This window comes from Homo sapiens, chromosome 19 (genome assembly GCF_000001405.40).
Source record: "Homo sapiens chromosome 19, GRCh38.p14 Primary Assembly".
Lineage (NCBI taxonomy): Eukaryota > Metazoa > Chordata > Mammalia > Primates > Hominidae > Homo > Homo sapiens.
The window spans coordinates 37101932-37121091 of record NC_000019.10 but is presented as its reverse complement, the minus strand read 5'-3'; the positions used below and the strand labels follow the sequence as shown (position 1 = coordinate 37121091).

General features: G+C 41.4%; 1 protein-coding gene across 22 annotated transcripts in view; it reads right to left on the bottom strand.

Moving 5' to 3' along the window:
• The window catches only part of ZNF420 (zinc finger protein 420), a 122467-nt gene that overhangs the window by 9277 nt on the left and 94030 nt on the right, over positions 1-19160 (bottom strand). Inside the window, exon 1 of one of the 22 annotated variants that reach the window (XM_017026338.2) lies at positions 9381-9467. The exons of the other annotated variants lie outside the window; for them this stretch is intronic. The gene's annotated coding sequence lies outside the window, so the exon portion shown is untranslated. Of the gene's footprint in view, positions 1-9380; positions 9468-19160 lie in introns of those variants that run through there. 22 annotated transcript variants of the gene reach the window in all.

Below are 19160 nucleotides of genomic sequence, written 5' to 3'. Positions count from 1 at the left end.
GGTAGCTTGATGGGGATGGCATTGAATCTATAAATTACCTTGGGCAGTATGGCCATTTTCATGATATTGATTCTTCCAACCCATGAGCATGTAATGTTCTTCCATTTGTTTGTATCCTCTTTTATTTCATTGAGCAGTGGTTTGTAGTTCTCCTTGAAGAGGTCCTTCACGTCCCTTGTAAGTTGGATTCCTAGATATTTTATTCTCTTTGAAGCAATTGTGAATGGGAGTTCACTCATGATTTGGCTCTCTGTTTGTCTGTTATTCATGTATAAGAATGCTGCTGATTTTTGTACACTGATTTTGTATCCTGAGACTTTGCTGTAGTTGCTTATCAGCTTAAGGAGATTTTGGGCTGAGACAATGGGGTTTTCTAGATACACAATCATGTCATCTGCAAACAGGGACAATTTGACTTCCTCTTTTCCTAATTGAATAACCTTTATTTCCTTCTCCTGCCTAATTGCCCTGGCCAGAAATTCCAACACTATGTTGAATAGGAGTGGTGAGAGAGGGCATCTCTGTCTTGTGCCAGTTTTCAAAGTGAGTGCTTCCAGTTTTTGCCCATTCAGTATGATATTGGCTGTGGGTTTGTCATAGATAGCTCTTATTATTTTGAGATACATCCCATCAATACCTAATTTATTGAGAGTTTTTAGCATGAAGGGTTGTTGAATTTTGTCAAAGGCCTTTTCTGCATCTATTGAGATAATCATGTGGTTTTTGTCTTTGGTTCTGTTTATATGCTGGATTACATTTATTGATTTGTGTATGTTGAACCAGCCTTGCATCCCAGGGATGAAGCCCACTTGATCATGGTGGGATAAGCTTTTTGATGTGCTGCTGGATTCGGTTTGCCAGTATTTTATTGAGGATTTTTGCATCAATGTTCATCAGGAATATTGGTCTAAAATTCTCTTTTTTGGCTGTGTCTCTGCCAGGCTTTGGTATCAGGATGATGCTGGCCTCATAAAATGAGTTAGGCAGGATTCCCTCTTTTTCTATTGATTGGAATAGTTTCAGAAGGAATGGTACCAGCTCCTCCTTGTACCTCTGGTAGAATTTGGCTGTGAATCCATCTGGTCCTGGACTCTTTTTGGTTGGTAAGCTATTGATTATTGCCACAATTTCAGATCCTGTTATTGGTCTATTCAGAGATTCAACTTCTTCCTGGTTTAGTCTTGGGAGGGTGTATGTGTCAAGGAATTTATCCATTTCTTCTAGATTTTCTAGTTTATTTGCATAGAGGTGTTTGTAGTATTCTGATGGTAGTTTGTATTTCTGTGGGATTGGTGGTGATATCCCCTTTATCATTTTTTATTGCATCTATTTGATTCTTCTCTCTTTTCTTCTTTATTAGTCTTGCTAGCAGTCTATCAATTTTGTTGATCTTTTCAAAAAACCAGCTCCTGGATTCATTAATTTTTTGAAGGTTTTTTTTTGTGTCTCTATTTCCTTCAGTTCTGCTCTGATTTTAGTTATTTCTTGCCTTCTGCTAGCTTTTGAATGTGTTTGCTCTTGCTTTTCTAGTTCTTTTAATTGTGGTGTTAGGGTGTCCATTTTGAATCTTTCCTGCTTTCTCTTGTGGACACTTAGTGCTATATATTTCCCTCTACACACTGCTTTGAATGTGTCCCAGAGATTCTGGTATGTTGTGTCTTTGTTCTCATTGGTTTCAAAGAACATCTTGATTTCTGCCTTCATTTCATTATGTACCCAGTAGTCATTCAGGAGCAGGTTGTTCAGTTTCCATGTAGTGGAGTGGTTTTGAGTGAGTTTCTTAATCCTGAGTTCTAGTTTGATTGCACTGTGGTCTGAGAGACAGTTTGTTATAATTTCTGTTCTTTTACATTTGCTGAGGAGAGCTTTACTTCGAACTATGTGGTCAGTTTTGGAATAGGTGTGGTGTGGTGCTGAAAAAAAATGTATATTCTGTTGATTTGGGGTGGAGAGTTCTGTAGATGTCTATTAGGTCCGCTTGGTGCAGAGCTGAGTTCAATTCCTGGGTATCCTTGTTAACTTTCTGTCTTGCTGATCTGTGTAATGTTGACAGTGGGGTGTTAAAGTCTCCCATTATTATTGTGTGGGAGTCTAAGTCTCTTTGTAGGTCACTCAGGACTTGCTTTATGAATCTGGGTGCTCCTGTATCGGATGCATATATATTTAGGATAGTTAGCTCTTCTTGGTGAATTGATCCCTTTAACATTATGTAATGGCCTTCTTTGTCTCTTTTGATCTTTGTTGGTTTAAAGTCTGTTTTATCAGAGACTAGGATTGCAACCCCTGCCTTTTTTTGTTTTCCATTTGCTTGGTAGATCTTCCTCCATCCCTTTATTTTGAGCCTATGTGTGTCTCTGCACGTGAGATGGGTTTCCTGAATACAGCACACTGATGGGTCTTGACTCTTTATCCAATTTGCCAGTCTGTGTCTTTTAATTGGAGCATTTAGCCCATTTACATTTAAAGTTAATATTGTTATGTGTGAATTTGATCCTGTCATTATGATGTTAGCTGGTTATTTTGCTCATTAGTTGATGCAGTTTCTTCCCAGCCTTGATGGTCTTTACAATTTGGCATGTTTTTGCAGTGGCTGGTACAGGTTGTTCCTTTCTATGTTTAGTGTTTCCTTCAGGAGCTCTTTTAGGGCAGGCCTGCTGGTGACAAAATCTCTCAGCATTTGCTTGTCTGTAAAGGATTTTACTTCTCCTTCACTTATGAAGCTTAGTTTGGCTGGATATGAAATTCTGGGTTGGAAATTCTTTTAAGAATGTTGAATATTGGCCCCCCTTCTCTTCTGGCTTGTAGAGTTTCTGCTGAGAGATCAGCTGTTAGTCTGATGGGCTTCCCTTTGTGGGTAACCTGACCTTTCTCTCTGGCTGCCCTTAACATTTTTTCCTTCATTTCAACTTTGGTGAATCTGACAATTATGTGTCTTGGAGTTGCTCTTCTCGAGAAGTATCTTTGTGGCGTTCTCTGTATTTCCTGAATCTGAATGGTGGCCTGCCTTGCTAGATTGGGGAAGTTCTCCTGGATAATATCCTGCAGAGTGTTTTCCAACTTGGTTCCATTCTCCCTGTCACTTTGAGGTACACCAATCAGACATAGATTTGGTCTTTTCACATAGTCCCATATTTCTTGGAGACTTTGTTTGTTTCTTTTTATTCTTTTTTCTCTAAACTTCTCTTCTTGCTTCATTTCATTCATTTGATCTTCCATCACTGATACCCTTTCTTCCAGTTGATCGTGTCGGCTCCTGAGGCTTCTGCATTCTTCACATAGTTCTTGAGCCTTGGCTTTCAGCTCCATCAGCTCCTTTAAGTACTTCTCTGCATTGGTTATTCTAGTTATACATACGTATAATTTTTATTTCAAAGTTTTTAACTTCTTTGCCATTGGTTTGAATTTCCTCCTGTAGCTCGGGAGTAGTTTGATCGTCTGAAGCCTTCTTCTCTCAACTCATCAAAGTCATTCTCCATCCAGCTTTGTTCTGTTGCTGGTGAGGAACTGCATTCCTTTGGAGGAGGAGAGGTGCTCTGCTTTTTAGAGTTTCCAGTTTTTCTGCTCTGTTTTTTCCCCATCTTTGTGGTTTTATCTACTTTTGGTCTTTGATGATGGTGACGTACAGATGGGTTTTTGGTGTGGATGTCCTTTCTGTTTGTTAGTTTTCCTTCTAACAGACAGGAGCCTCGCCTGCAGGTCTGTTGGAGTTTGCTAGAGGTCCACTCCAGACCCTGTTTGCCTGGGTATCAGCAGCAGTGGCTGCAGAACAGCGGTGGCTGTAGAACAGCCGATTTTCGTGAACCGCAAATGCTGCTGCCTGATCGTTCCTCTGGAAGTTTTGTCTCAGAGGAGTACCCGGCCATGTGAGGTGTCAGTCTGCCCCTACTGGGGGGTGCCTCCCAGTTAGGCTGCTCGGGGGTCAGGGACCCACTTGAGGAGGCAGTCTGTCCGTTCTCAGATCTCCAGCTGCGTGCTGGGAGAACCACTACTCTCTTCAAAGCTGTCAGACAGGGACGTTTAAGTCTGCACAGGTTACTGCTGTCTTTTTGTTTGTCTGTGCCCTGCCCCCAGAGGTGGAGCCTATAGAGGCAGGAAGGCCTCCTTTAGCTGTGGTGGGCTCCACCCAGTTCAAGCTTCCAGGCTGCTTTGTTTACCTAAGCAAGCCTGGGCAATGGCAGGCACCCCTCCCCCAGCCTCGCTGCTGCCTTGCAGTTTGCTAGCACAGCAGTCTGAGATCAATCAGTGAGACTCCATGGGCATAGGACCCTCTGAGCTAGGTGTGGGATATAATCTCCTGGTGTGCTGTTTTTTAAGCCCGTTGGAAAAGCGCAGTATTAGGGTGGGAGTGACCCAATTTTCCAGGTGCCGTCTGTCACCCCTTTCTTTGACTAGGAAAGGGAACTCCCTGACCCCTTGCACTTACTGAGTGAGGTAATGCCTCGCCCTGCTTCGGCTCGCACACAGTGTGCTGCACCCACTGTCCTGCACCCACTGTCTGGCACTCCCTAGTGAGATGAACCCGGTACCTCAGATGGAAATGCAGAAATCACCCGTCTTCTGCGTCGTTCATGCTGGGAGCTGTAGACCAGAGCTGTTCCTATTTGGCCATCTTGGCTCCACCCATATTTTCCAAAAAAAGTGTTTTAAGAAGGAATGATCGGTTATGTCAAATGCTGAGAGATGAGGCGAAATGGTGCATTCTTTTTTTTTTTTTTTTTTTTTTGAGGTGGAGTCCTGCTCTGTTGCCCAGGCTGAAGTGCAGTGGTGTGATCTCGGTTCACTGCAACCTCCACCTCCTGGATTCAAGCAATTCTCTTGCCTCAGCTCCAAGGTAGCTGGGAATCCCTGCGTGTGCCATCATGCCTGGCTAAATTTTTTTGTATTTTTAGTAGAGACAGGGTTTCACCATGTTGGCCAAGCTGGTCTTTGTGGGGAAAAGAAAGAGAGATCAGCCTCTTACTGTGTCTATGTAGAAAGAAGTAGACATAAGAGACTCCATTTTGTTCTGTACTAAGAAAAATTCCTCTGCCTTGAGATGCTATTAATCTGTAACCCTACCCCCAACCTTGTGCTCCCTGAAACATGTGCTGTGTTGACTCAAGGTTTAATGGATTTAGGGCTATGCAGGATGTGCTTTGTTAAAAAAGTGCTTGAAGGCAGCGTGCTTGTTAAAAGTCATCACCATTCTCTAATCTCAAGTACCCAGGGACACAATACACTGTGGAAGGCCACAGGAACCTCTGCCTAGGAAAGCCAGGTATTGTCCAAGGTTTCTCTCCATGTGATAGCCTGAGATATGGCCTCGTGGGAAGGGAAAACCTGACCGCCCCCCAGCCCAACACCCGTAAAGGGTCTGTGCTGAGGAGGATTAGTAAAAGAGGAAGGCCTCTCTGCAGTTGAGATAAGAGGAAGGCACCTGTCTCCTGCTTGTCCCTGGGCAATAGAATGTCTCAGTGTAAAACCCAATTGTATGTTCTATTTACTGAGATAGAAGAAAACTGCCTTAGGGCTGGAGGTGAGACGTGCTAGCAGCAATACTGCTATTTAATGCACCGAGATGTTTGTATACATGTACATCAAGGCACAGCACCTTTCCTTAAACTTATTTATGACACAAAGACCTCTGTTCACATGTTTTCCTGCTGACCCTCTCCCCACTATTACCCTACGGTCCTGCCACATCCCCCTCTCCAAGATGGTAGAGATAATGATCCATAAACACTGAGAGAACTCAGAGACCAGTGCTGGCGCGGGTCCTCCGTATGGTGAGCGCCGGTCCCCTGGGCCCACTTTTCTTTCTCTATACTTTGTTTCTGTGTCTCTTTCTTTTCTCAAGTCTCTCATTCCACCTGACGAGAAACACCCACAGGTGTGGAGGGGCAGGCCACTCCTTCATCGGGTGTCCAACGTAGGTGCTTTTCTCTAGGGTGAAGGTACGCTCGAGCGTGGTCAATGAGGACAAGTCAACGAGAGATTCCTGAGTACGTCTATGGTCACCCTTTGCGGTAAACTTGTGCGCTCAGAAGAAGCCAGGGTAACAATGGGACAAACTAAAAGTAAATATGCCTCTTAGCTCCATTAAAATTCTTTTAAAAAGAGGGGGAGTCAGAGTCTCTACAAAAAAAATCTAATCACTCTATTTCAAACAATAGAACAATTCTGCCCATGGTTTCTAGAACGGGGAACTTTAGATCTAAAAGATTGGGAAAAAATTGGCAAAGAATTAAAACAAGCAAGTAGGGAGGGTAAAATCATCCCACTTACAGTATGGAATGATTGGGCCATTATTAAAGTAGCTTTAGAACTGTTTCAAACAGGAGAAGATAGCATTTCAGTTTCTGATGCCCTGGAAAATGTGTAATAGATTGTGAAGAAGAGGCAGGGATAGAATCTGGGAAAGGAACGGAAAGTTCACATTGTAAATATGTAGCAGAGCCGGTAATGGTTCGGTCAATGCAAAATGTTGACTATAATCAATTACAGGAAGTGATATATCCTGAAATGTTAAAATTAGAAGAAAAAGGTCCAGAATTAGTGGGGCCATCAGAGTCTAAACCACGATGGCCAACTCCTCTCCCAGCAGTTCAGATGCCTGTAACATTACAACCTCAAATGCAGGTTAGACAAGTACAAACCCCAAAAGAATATCAAATAGGGAAAGATAGAGTCTCTGTCACGGCAATGCCAATCCAAATACAGTATCCACAATATCAGCCGGTGGAAAATAAGACCCAACCGCCAGTAACCTATCAATACTGGCCGCCAGCCGAACTTCAGGATCAGCCGCCCCCAGAAAATCAGTATGGACAGCCAGGAATGTTTCCAGCACCACAGGGCAGGGCGCTATATCCTCAGCAGCCCACTATGAGATTTAATCCTACACCACCACCTAGTGGACAGGGTAGTGCATTACATAAAATTATTGATAAGGCAAGAAAACAAGGAGATACCGAGGCATGGCAATTCCCAGTAATATTAGAACCGATACCACCTGAAGAAGAGGCCCAAGAGGGAGCGCCTCCCCTAGCTGAGGCCAGATATGAGTCCTTTTCCATAAAAATGCTAAAAGATATGAAAGAGGGAGTAAAACAGTATGGACCCAACTCCCCTTATATGAGGACATTATTAGATTCCATTGCTCATGGACATAGACTCATTCTTTATGATTGGGAGATTTTGGCCAAATGATCGCTCTCACCCTCTCAATGTTTACAATTTAAGACTTGGTGAAGACTTGGTGGATTGATGGGGCACAAGAACAGGTCCAAAAAAATAGGGCTGCCAATCCTCCAGTTAACATAGATGCAGATCAACTATTAGGAACAGGTCAAAATTGGAGCACTACTAATTAACAAGCAATAATGTAAAATGAGGCCACTGAGCAAGTTAGACCTATCTGCCTTAGAGCCTGGGAAAAAAGCCAAGACCCAGGAACCGCCTGCCCCTCATTCAATACAATAAGACAAGGCGCTAAAGGAGCCCTACCCTGATTTTGCGGCAAGCCTCCAAGATGCTGCTCAAAAGTCAATTACCAATGAGAATGCCCGTAAGGTCATAGTGGAGTTGATGGCATACGAAAATGCCAATCCTGAGTGTCAATCAGCCATTAAACCATTAAAAGGAAAGGTCCCAGTGGGATCAGATGTAATCTCAAGAGTACGTAAAAGCCTGTGATGGAATTGGAGGAGCTATGCATAAAGCTATGCTTATCGCTCAAGCAATAACGGGACTTGCTTTAGGAGGACAAGTTAGAACATTTAGGGGAAAATGTTATAATTGTGGACAAATTGGTCATCAAAAAAAGAATTGCCCAGCCTCAAATAAACAAAATATAACTATTCAAACTACTACAAGAACAGATAAAGAGCCACCTGACTTATGTCCAAGAGGTAAAAAAGGAAAACATTGGGCTAGTCAATGTCATTCTAAATTTGATAAAAATGGGCAACCATTGTCGGGAAACGAGAAGAGGGGCCAGCCTCAGGCCCCGCAACAAACTGGGGCATTCCCAATTTAGCCCTTTGTTCCTCAGGGTTTTCAGGGACAACAACCCCCACTGTCACAAGTGCTTCAGGGAATGGGCCAGTTACCACAATACAGCAACTGTCCCCGGCCACAAGCGGCAGTGCAGCAGTAGATTTGTGTACTATACAAGCAGTCTCTCTGCTTCCAGGGAGCCCCCACAAAAAAATCCCCACAGGGATATATGGCCCACGGCCTGAGGGGACTGTAGGACTAATCTCAGGAAGATCGAGTCTAAATCTAAAGGGAGTTCAAATTCATACTGGTGTGGTTGATTCAGACTACAAAGTCGAAATTCAATTGGTTATTAGCTCCTCAGTTCCTTGGAGTGCCAGTCCAGGAGACAGGATTGCTTAATTATTCCTGCCTTATATTAAGGTTGAAAACAGTGAGATAAAAAGAACAGGAGGGTTTGGAAGCACTGATCCAGCTAGGCTGCATATTGGGCAAGTCAGGTCTCAGAGAGCAGACCTGTGTGTAAGGCCATTATTCAAGGAAAACAGTTTGAGGGGTTGGTAGACACTGCAGCAGATGTCTCTATCATTGCTTTCAATCGGTGGCCAAAAAATTGGCCTAAACAAAAGGCTGTTACAGGACTTGTCGGCGTAGGCACTGCCTCAGAAGTGTATCAAAGTGCTGAGATTTTACATTGCTTAGGGCCAGATAATCAAGAAAGTACTGTTCAGCCAATGATTACTTCAATTCCCGTTAATCTGTGGGGTCGAGATTTATTACAACAATGGGGTGAGGAAATCACTATGCCTGCCCCATTATATAGCCCCACAAATCAAAAAATCACGACTAAGATGGGATATATACCAGGAAAGGGACTAGGAAAAAATGAAAATGGCATTAAAGTCCCAATTGAGATTGAGGGAAATCAAGAAACAGCAGCAATAGGGTATCCTTTTTAGGGGCGGCCACTGTAGATCCTCCTAAACCCACTCCATTAACTTGGAAAACAGAAAAACCTGTATGGGTAAATCAGTGGCTGCTACCAAAACGAAAACTGGAGGCTTTACATTTATTAGCAAAGTAACAATCAGAAAACGGACATACTGAGCCTTCATTCTCGCCTTGGAATTCTCCTGTGTTTGTAATTCAGAAAAAATCCAGCAGATGGCGAATGTTAACTGACTTAAGGGCCGTAAATGCCATAATTCAACCCATGGGGCATCTCCAACCAGGGTTGCCCTCTCCGGCCATGATCCCAAAAGACTGGCCTTTAATTATAATTGATCTGAAGGATTGCTTTTTTACCATTCCTCTGGTGGAGCAGGATTGTGAAAAATTTGCCTTTACTATACCAGCCATAAATAATAAAGAACCAGCCACCAGGTTTCAGTGGAAAGTGTTACCTCAGGGAATGCTTAATAGTCCAACTATTTGTCAGACTTTCGTAGGTCAAGCTCTTCAACCAGTTAGAGATAAGTTTTCAGACTGTTATTCATTACGTTGATATTTGATGTGCTGCAGAAACGAGAGACAAATTAATTGACTGTTACACATTTCTGCAAGCAGAGGTTGCCAACGCAGGACTGGCAATAGCATCTGGTAAGATTCAAACCTCTACTCCTTTTCATTATTTAGGGATGCAGATAGAAAATAAAAAAATTAAGCCACAAAAAATAGAAATAAGAAAAGGCACATTAAAAACATTAAATGATTTTCAAAAATTGCTAGGAGACATTAATTGGATTTGGCCAACTCTAGGTATTCCTACTTATGCCATGTCAAATTTGTTCTCTATCTTAAGAGGAGACCCAGACTTAAATAGTAAAAGAATATTAACCCGAGAGGCAACAAAAGAAATTAAATTAGTGGAAGAAAAAATTCAGTCAGTGCAATAAATAGAATAGATCCCTTAGCCCCACTCCAACTTTTGATTTTTGCTACTGCACATTTTCCAACAGGCATCATTGTTCAAAATACTGATCTTGTGGAGTGGTCATTCCTTCCTCACAGTACAATTAAGACTTTTACATTATACTTGGCTCAAATAGCTACATTAATTGGTCAGGCAAGATTACGAATAATAAAATTGTGTGGAAATGACCCAGACAAAATAGTTGTCCCTTTAACCAAGGAACAAGTTAGACAAGCCTTTATCAATTCTGGTGCATGGCAGATTGGTCTTGCTGATTTTGTGGGAATTACTGATAATCATTACCCAAAAACAAAAATCCTCCAGTTTTTAAAATTGACTACTTGGATTTTACCTAAAATTACCAGTCACGGACCTTTAGAAAATGCTCTGACAGTATATACTGATGGTTCCAACAATGGAAAAGCAGCTTACACAGAGCCAAAAGAGCAAGTAATCAAAACTCAGTATCAATTGGCTCAAAGAGCAGAGTTGGTTGCAGTCATTACAGTGTTATAAGATTTTGATCAATCTATCAATATTGTATCAGATTCTGCATATGTAGTACAGGCTACAAGGGATGTTGAGACAGCTCTAATCAAATATAGCATGGATGATCAGTTAAACCAGCTATTCAATTTATTACAACAAACTGTAAGAAAAAGAAATTTCCCATTTTATATTACTCATATTCGAGCACACACTAATTTACCAGGGCCTTTGACTAAAGCAAATGAACAAGCTGACTTACTGGTATCATCTGCATTCATAAAAGCACAAGAACTTCATGCTTTGGCTCATGCAAATGCAGCAGGATTAAAAAACAAATTTGATGTCACATAGAAACAGGCAAAAAATATTGTACAACATTGCACCCAGTGTCAAGTCCTACACCTGCCCACTCAAGAGGCAGAAGTTAATCCCAGAGGTCTGTGTCCTAATGCGTTATGGCAAATGGATGTCACGCATGTACCTTCATTTGGAAGATTATCATGTGTTCATGTAACAGTTGATACTTACTCACATTTCATATGGACAACCTGCCAGACAGGAGAAAGTACTTCCCATGTTAAAAAACATTTATTATCTTATTTTGCTGTAATGGGAGTTCCAGAAAAAATTAAAACTAACAATGGACCAGGATACTGTAGTAAAGCTTTCCAAGAAAATTACACATACAACAGGAATTCCCTATAATTCCCAAGGACAGGCCATAGTTGAAAGAACTAATAGAACACACAAAACTCAATTAGTTAAACAAAAAGAAGGGGGAGACAGTAAGGAGTGTACCACTCCTCAGATGCAACTTAATCTAGCACTCTATACTTTAAATTTTTTAAACATTTATAGAAATCAGACTACTACTCCTGCAGAACAACATCTTACTGGTAAAAAAAAGAATAGCCCACATGAAGGAAAACTGATTTGGTGGAAAGACAACAACAATAAGACATGGGAAATAGGGAAGGTGGTAACGTGGAGGAGAGGTTTTGCTTGTGTTTCACCAGGAGAAAATCAGCTTCCTGTTTGGATACCAACTAGACATTTGAAGTTCTACAATGAACCTGTCGGAGATGCAAAGAAAAGCACCTCCACGGAGACAGAAACACTGCAATCAAGCACCATCAACTCACAAGATAAAATGGTGATGTCAGAAGAATAGATGAAGTTGCCATTCACCAAGAAGGCAGAGCCGCCGACTTGGGCACAATTAAAGAAGCTGACACAGTTAGCTAAAAAAGGCCTTGAGAACACAAAGGTGACACAAACTCCAGAGAGTATGCTGCTTGCAGCTTTGATGATTGTATCAATGGTGGTAAGTCTCCCCATGCCTGTAGGAGCAGCTGCAGCTAATTATACCTACTGGGCCTGTGTGCCTTTCCTGCCCTTAATTCGGGCAGTCGCATGGATGGATAATCCTATTGAAGTATATGTTAATAACAGTGTATGGGTACCTGGCCCCACAGATGATCACTGCCCTGCCAAACCTGAGGAAGAAGGAATGACGATAAATATTTCTACTGGGTATCGTTATCCTCCTATTTGTCTAGGGAGAACACCAGGATGTTTAATGCCTACAATCCAAAATTGGTTGGTAGAAGTACTTACTTACTGTACCACCAGTAGATTCACTTATCACATGGTAAGCGGAATGTCACTCAGGCCACAGGTAAATTATTTACAGGACTTTTCTTATCAAAGATCATTAAAATGTAGGCCTAAAGGGAAACCTTGCCCCACGGAAATTCCCAAGGTATCAAAAGACACAGAAGTTTTAGTTTAGGAAGAATGTGTGGCCAATAGTGTGGTGATATTACAAAATGATGAATTTGGAACTATTATAGATTGGGCACCTCGAGGTCAATTCTACCACAATTGCACAGGACAAACTCAGTCATGTCCCAGTGCACAAGTGAGTCCAACTGTTGATAGTGACTTAACAGAAAGTTTAGACAAACATAAGCACAAAAAATTACAGTCTTTCTACCCTTGGGAATGGGGAGAAAAAGGAATCTCTACTCCAAGACCAAAAATAATAAGTCCTGTTTCTGGTCCTGAACATCCAGAATTATGGAGGCTTACTGTGGCCTCATACCGCATTAGAATTTGATCTGGAAATCAAGCTATAGAAACAGGAGATCATAAGCCATTTTATACTATCGACCTAAATTCAAGTCTAACGGTTTCTTTACAAAGTTGTATAAAGCGCCCTTATATGCTAGTTGTAGGAAATATAGTTATTAAACCAGACTCCCAAACTATATAACCTGTGAAAATTGCAGATTGTTTACTTGCATTGATTCAACTTTCAATTGGCAGCACCGTATTCTGCTAGTGAGAGCAAGGGAAGGCGTGTGGATCCCTGTGTCCATGGACCGACAGTGGGAGGCCTCGCCATCCATCCATATTTTGACTGAAGTATTAAAAGTCATTTTAAATAGATCCAAAAGATTCATTTTTACTTTAATTGCAGTGATTATGGGATTAATCGCAGTCACAACTACAGCCGCTGTGGCAGGAGTTGCATTGCACTCTTCTGTTCGGACAGTAAACTTTGTTAATGATTGGCAAAAGAATTCTACAAGATGGTGGAATTCACAATCTGGTATTGATCAAAAATTGGCAAATCAAATTAATGATCTTAGACTGTCATTTGGATGGGAGATAGGCTCATGAGCTTAGAACATCATTTCCAGTTACAGTGTGACTGGAATACGTCAGATTTTTGTATTACACCTGGAGTTTATAATGAGTCTGAGCATCACTGGGACATGGTTAGATGCCGTCTACAGGGAAGAAAAGATAATCTCACTTTAGACATTTCCAAATTAAAAGAACAAATTTTTGAAGGATCAAAGCCCATTAAATTTGGTACCAGGAACTGAGGCAATCATGGAGTTGCTGATGGTCTCACAAATCTTAACCCTGTCACTTGGGTTAAGACCATCGGAAGTTCTACTATTGTAAATTTCCTATTAATCCTTGTGTGCCTGTTCTGTCTGTTGTTAGTCTGCAGGTGTACCCAACAGCTCCAAAGAGACAGCGACCATCGAGAACGGGCCATGATGACGATGGCGGTTTTGTCCAAAAGAAAAGGGGGAAATGGGAAAAGAGAGATCAGACTGTTACCGTGTCTATGCAGAAATAAGTAGACATAAGAGACTCCGTTTTGTTCTGTACCAAGAAAATTCTTCTGCCTTGAGATGCTGTTAATCTGTAACCCTAGCCCCAACCCTGTGCTCACAGAGACATGTGCTGTGTTGACTCAAGGTTTAATGGATTTACCAAAGGGCTATGCAGGATGTACTTTGTTAAAAAAAAGTGCTTGAAGGCAGTATGCTTGTTAAAAGTCATCACCATTCTCTAATCTCAAGTACCCAGGACACAATACACTGTGGAAGGCCACAGGGACCTCTGCCTGGGAAAGCCAGGTATTGCCCAAGATTTCTCCCCATGTGATAGCCTGAGATATGGCCTCATGGGAAGGGTAAGACCTGACTGTCCCCCAGCCCGACATCCCCCAGCCCGACACCCGAAAAGGGTCTGTGCTGAGGAGGATTAGTAAAAGAGGAAGGCCTCTTTGCAGTTCAGATAAGAGGAAGTCATCTGTCTCCTGCTCGTCCCTGGGCAATAGAATGTCTCAGTGTAAAACCCAATTGTATGTTCTATTTACTGAGATAGGAGAAAACCACCTTAGGGCTGGAGGAGAGACATGCTAGTGGTAATACTGCTCTTTAATGCACCGAGATGTTTGTACACGTGCACATCAAGGCACAGCACCTTTTCTTAACCTTGTTTACGACACAGAGACTTTTGTTTACATGTTTTCCCGCTGACCCTCTCCCCACTATTACCCTATTGTCCTGCCACATCCCCCTCTCCGAGATGGTAGAGATAATGATCAATAAATACTGAGGGAACTCAGAGACCAGTAAGCACCGGTCCCCTGGGCCCACTTTTCTTTCTCCACACTTTGTCTCTGTCTCTTTCTTTTCTCAGTCTCTCGTTCCACCTGACGAGAAACACCCACAGGTATGGAGGGGCAGGCCACCCCTTCAGATCTTGAACTTCTGCCCTCAGGTGATCTCCCTGCCTTGGCCTCCCAAAGTGGTGGGATTACAGGTGTGAGCCACCGTGTTCGGCCTAAATCGTGCTTCCTAAGTTAAAAATGGCATTATTAGCAAAATGGAGATTACTGGTAATCTTCACAATAATAGTTTTGGCAGAATAATGGGAGCAAGTTCTGACTGAACCAGATTCAAAAGAATGAGAGAAGATAAAATACTGGCAAACCGAATCCAGCAGCACATCAAAAAGTTTATCTACCCATGATCAAGTGGGCTTCATCCCTGGGATGCAAGGCTGGTTCAACATATGCAAATCAATAAATGTAATCCAGCATATAAACAGAACCAAAGACAAAACCACATGATTATCTCAATAGATGCAGAAAAGGCCTTTGACAAAATTCAACAGCCCTTCATGCTAAAAACTCCCAATAAATTAGGTATTGATGGGATGTATCTCAAAATAATAAGAGCTATTTATGACAAACCCACAGCCAATATCATACTGAATGGACAAAAACTGGAAGCATTACAAGACAGGGATGCCCTCTCTCATCACTCCTATTCAACATAGTGTTGGAAGTTCTGGCCAGGGCAATCAGACAGGAGAAAGAAAGAAAGGGTATTCAATTAGGAAAAGAGGAAGTCAAATTGTCCCTGTTTGCAGATGACATGACTGTATATTTAGAAAACCCCATAGTCTCTGCCCGAAATCTCCTTAAGCTGATAAGCAACTTCAGCAAAGTCTCAGGATACAAAATCAATGTGCAAAAATCACAAGCATTCTTATACACCAATAACAGACAAACAGCCAAATCATGAGTGAACTCCCATTCACAATTACTTCAAAGACAATAAAATACCTAGGAATCCAACTTACAAGGGATGTGAAGGACCTCTTCAAGGAGAACTACAAACCACTGCTCAGTGAAATAAAAGAGAACACAAACAAATGGAAGAACATTCCATGCTCATGGATAGGAAGAATCAATATCGTAAAATGGCCATACTGAATCAATGATGAATCAAGAATCAATAAAATGGCCATACTGCCCAAGGTAATTTATAGATTCAATGCCATCCCCATCAAGCTACCAATGACTTTCTTCACAGAATTGGAAAAAAACTAAAGTTCAATATGGAACCAAAAAAGAACCCGCATTGCCAAGCCAATCCTAAGCCAAAAGAACAAAGCTGGAGGCATCATGCTACCTGACCTCAAACTATACTACAAGGCTACAGTAACCAAAACAGCATGGTACTGGTACCAAAACAGAGATATAGATCAATGGAACAGAACAGAGCCCTCAGAAATAATACCACCCATCTACAACCATCTGATCTTTGACAAACCTGACAAAAACAAGAAATGGGGAAAGGATTCCCTATTTAATAAATGGTGCTGGGAAAACTGGCTAGCCATATGTAGAAAGCTGAAACTGGATCCCTCCCTTACACCTTATATAAAAATTAATTCAAGATGGATTAAAGACTTAAATGTTAGACCTAAAACCATAAAAACCCTAGAAGAAAACCTAGGCAATACCATTCAGGACATAGGCATGGGCAAGGACTTCATGTCTAAAACACCAAAAGCAATGGCAACAAAAGCCAAAATTGACAAATGGGATCTAATTAAACTAAAGAGCTTCTGCACAGCAAAAGAAACTACCAACAGAGTGAACAGGCAACCTAAAGAATGGGAGAAAATGTTTGCAATCTACCCATCTGACAAAGGGCTAATATCCAGAATCTACAAAGAACTCAAATTTATAAGAAGAAAACAACCCCATCAAAAAGTCGGCAAAGGATATGAACAGACACTTCTCAAAAGAAGACATTTATGTAGCCAACAGACACATATGCAGCCAACAGACACATGGAAAAATGCTCATCATCAACTGGCCATCAGAGAAATGCAAATCAAAACCACAATGAGATACCATCTCACACCACTTAGAATGGCAATCATTAAAAAGTCAGGAAACAACAGGTGCTGGAGAGGATGTGGAGAAACAGGAACACTTTTACACTGTTGGTGGGACTGTAAACTAGTTCAACCATTGTGGAAGACAATGTGGCAATTCCGCAAGGATCCAGAACTAGAAATACCATTTGACCCAGCTATCCCATTACCTGGTATATACCCAAAGGATTATAAATCATGCTGCTATAAAGACACATGCACACGTATGTTTATTGCAGCACTATTCACAATAGCAAAGACTTGGAACCAACCCAAATGTCCATCAATGATAGACTGGATTAAGAAAATGTGGCATATATACACCATGGAATACTATGCAGCCATAAAAAAGGATGAGTTCATGTCCTTCGTAGGGACATGGATGACGCCGGAAACCCATTCTTAGCAAACTATCTCAAGGACAAAAAAACAAACACCACATGTTCTCACTCATAGGTGGGAATTGAACAATGAGAACACTTGGACACAGGAAGGGGAACATCACACAATGGAGCCTGTTGTGGGGTCGGGGGAGGGGGAAGGGGGGAGGAATAGCATTAGGAGATATACCTAATGTAAATGACGAGTTAATGGGTGCAGTACACCAACATGGCACATGTATACATATGTAACAAACCTGCACGTTGTGCACATGTACCCTAGAACTTAAAGTATAATAAAAAAAAAAAAAGACAAAAAAAAAATGAGAGAAGAGCTGGAGTTAGGGAATATGGAAAATTCTTTTGTATTTTTCTGTAAAAAGTAGCAAAGAAATGGAGCTATATCAAGAGGAAAATGTGTGTCAAAATATTTGGTTTTGTTTTTTTTCCTTTTAAGATAGAAGAAATTAAGGCATGTTTGTATGCTGATGAAAATTATTGTAAAAGATATGGACAAGTTCATGTTAGAAGAGACAAAGGGCAATTGCTTCAACAGTGTCCTTAAAAATATGAGAAGGAATGGAATTCAGTATACAAGTGAGGGTACTGGGCTTAAGTAAAGGCACAAAAAGGTTACATGTTAATAGGAAAAGAGGTTGAATTAGTATAGATGAAGGTAGGTAAACAGACAAGGAAGCAAGAATCTCTCTTCTCTTCTGCTAGCTTCAGTTTTCTCAGTGAGATCAGCTCAGGGACATCATCTAAGAGCCAGGCAAGAGGATGAATAGTCATGACCATTATGTAACCAACAACTTAGCTCCTAAATAAACAAAAACTAGCAGACATATAGAGAAATTAATCACCGTCATAGTAGAGAATAGAATATAAACAGACCAGAAATAAAAACAAGGAAGACTATAACATAATTAGTAATATAGGAAGATAGATAAAACTGACATAAAATGTTTTTAATTATCACATTAGCATAAAACTAAAAATTATAAAAACATAGAAAAAACATATAATCCTAGAATTAAGTTACTAAGACAATTCTATATGATGTTTGTTATAGAAGGAAATAAAAATAAAATTTTAAAACAATTTAGAGCCAAATAGCAAAAGAAACTTTGTGTGAAATCCCAAGAAATCAGCTAAAATTGTACCCAGGGAAATTTACAGTCTTAAGTGCATTTATTAAAAAACAAGAAATACTATAGTTAAGAGAATTAAGATTTCACCTCAAGAAGAAGTGAGCAAAAAGCATAACTAAAAACCAAAATATAAGTGAGATAAAAAATCAGAAAATGAGTAAATTAGAAACGTAGAAACAGCAGAAATAATTAGCAAAATCAAAATACCAAAATTATTTGAAAATATCCATAAATAATACAAAAAAAGTGACGTGTAGAAAAAAATTAGATTTAGCACAAATCCAAAGCACTGGAGAGAAAAAGGTAACCATAAATTGAGGAGTTAAAAAGTGTTTATGAGAGATTATGGGAGTGACGTCAGCAAGATGGCAGAAATAGGAGGTAACCCACTCATATCCCCTCACGAGAATTCTGCACCCATCCACAGATAAAAGTCTCTTTGCAGAAGCTTTGGAATTCAGGTAGGAGGTTGTAAAACTTGAGTAAAGCCCAAGACCTAGGAAAGTCATTTTGAGAGTGCAGACTGGCACGCAGGTGGCTGATCTCCCATGCTGATCCCATGTTCAAAGCTTGAAAATGGCCCCATTCCCCAGAGGGCTTGGCTACAGCCCCATTTGGCCTTGGGCGTGCAATCAAAACCATCTGCCTAAAGGTCCAGGAGGAATCATGCACACTAGTGTCTAGGTGGAGAGTCTCTTATGCCTGCTGACAACAGTCCTGGTAGTGAACCTCACAGTTGCTCTGTGGCTTAGCTCCAGCCTCCTCAGCTGGGGGTGCCAGCTCAGAACCGCTCATACAAGGATCCAGAGTAAGATTCATCCGTATCTCATGGTTTGGGAGTTGGAGTCTTCACGATGGGCTCACCAACCTCTGTCCCACAGCAGACCTTGAGGAAGCCCAGTCTTTGCCTTGGGCCCTCCTGCAATAACTGGAGAACTATCCCCTCCGTGTAGACACGGTGGGAGACACACCCATGTGGGCTGAGATGGGCTCATCAGCTGCCATCCCATAGCACATCCTCAGGGGGTCCAGGCTCAGCTCCAGCACCTCCCACTGCAGTCAGGGAACTATTCCATCTGTGCATGGAAGCCTCTGTCCCACAGCAGATCCCGAGAGGGCCCAGTCTAAGCTCTAGCCCCTCCTGTTGCAGTCATAGAACTACCCCATCTGTGCAGAGACATGCTGGGAGATGTACACCTGTCTAAGCCA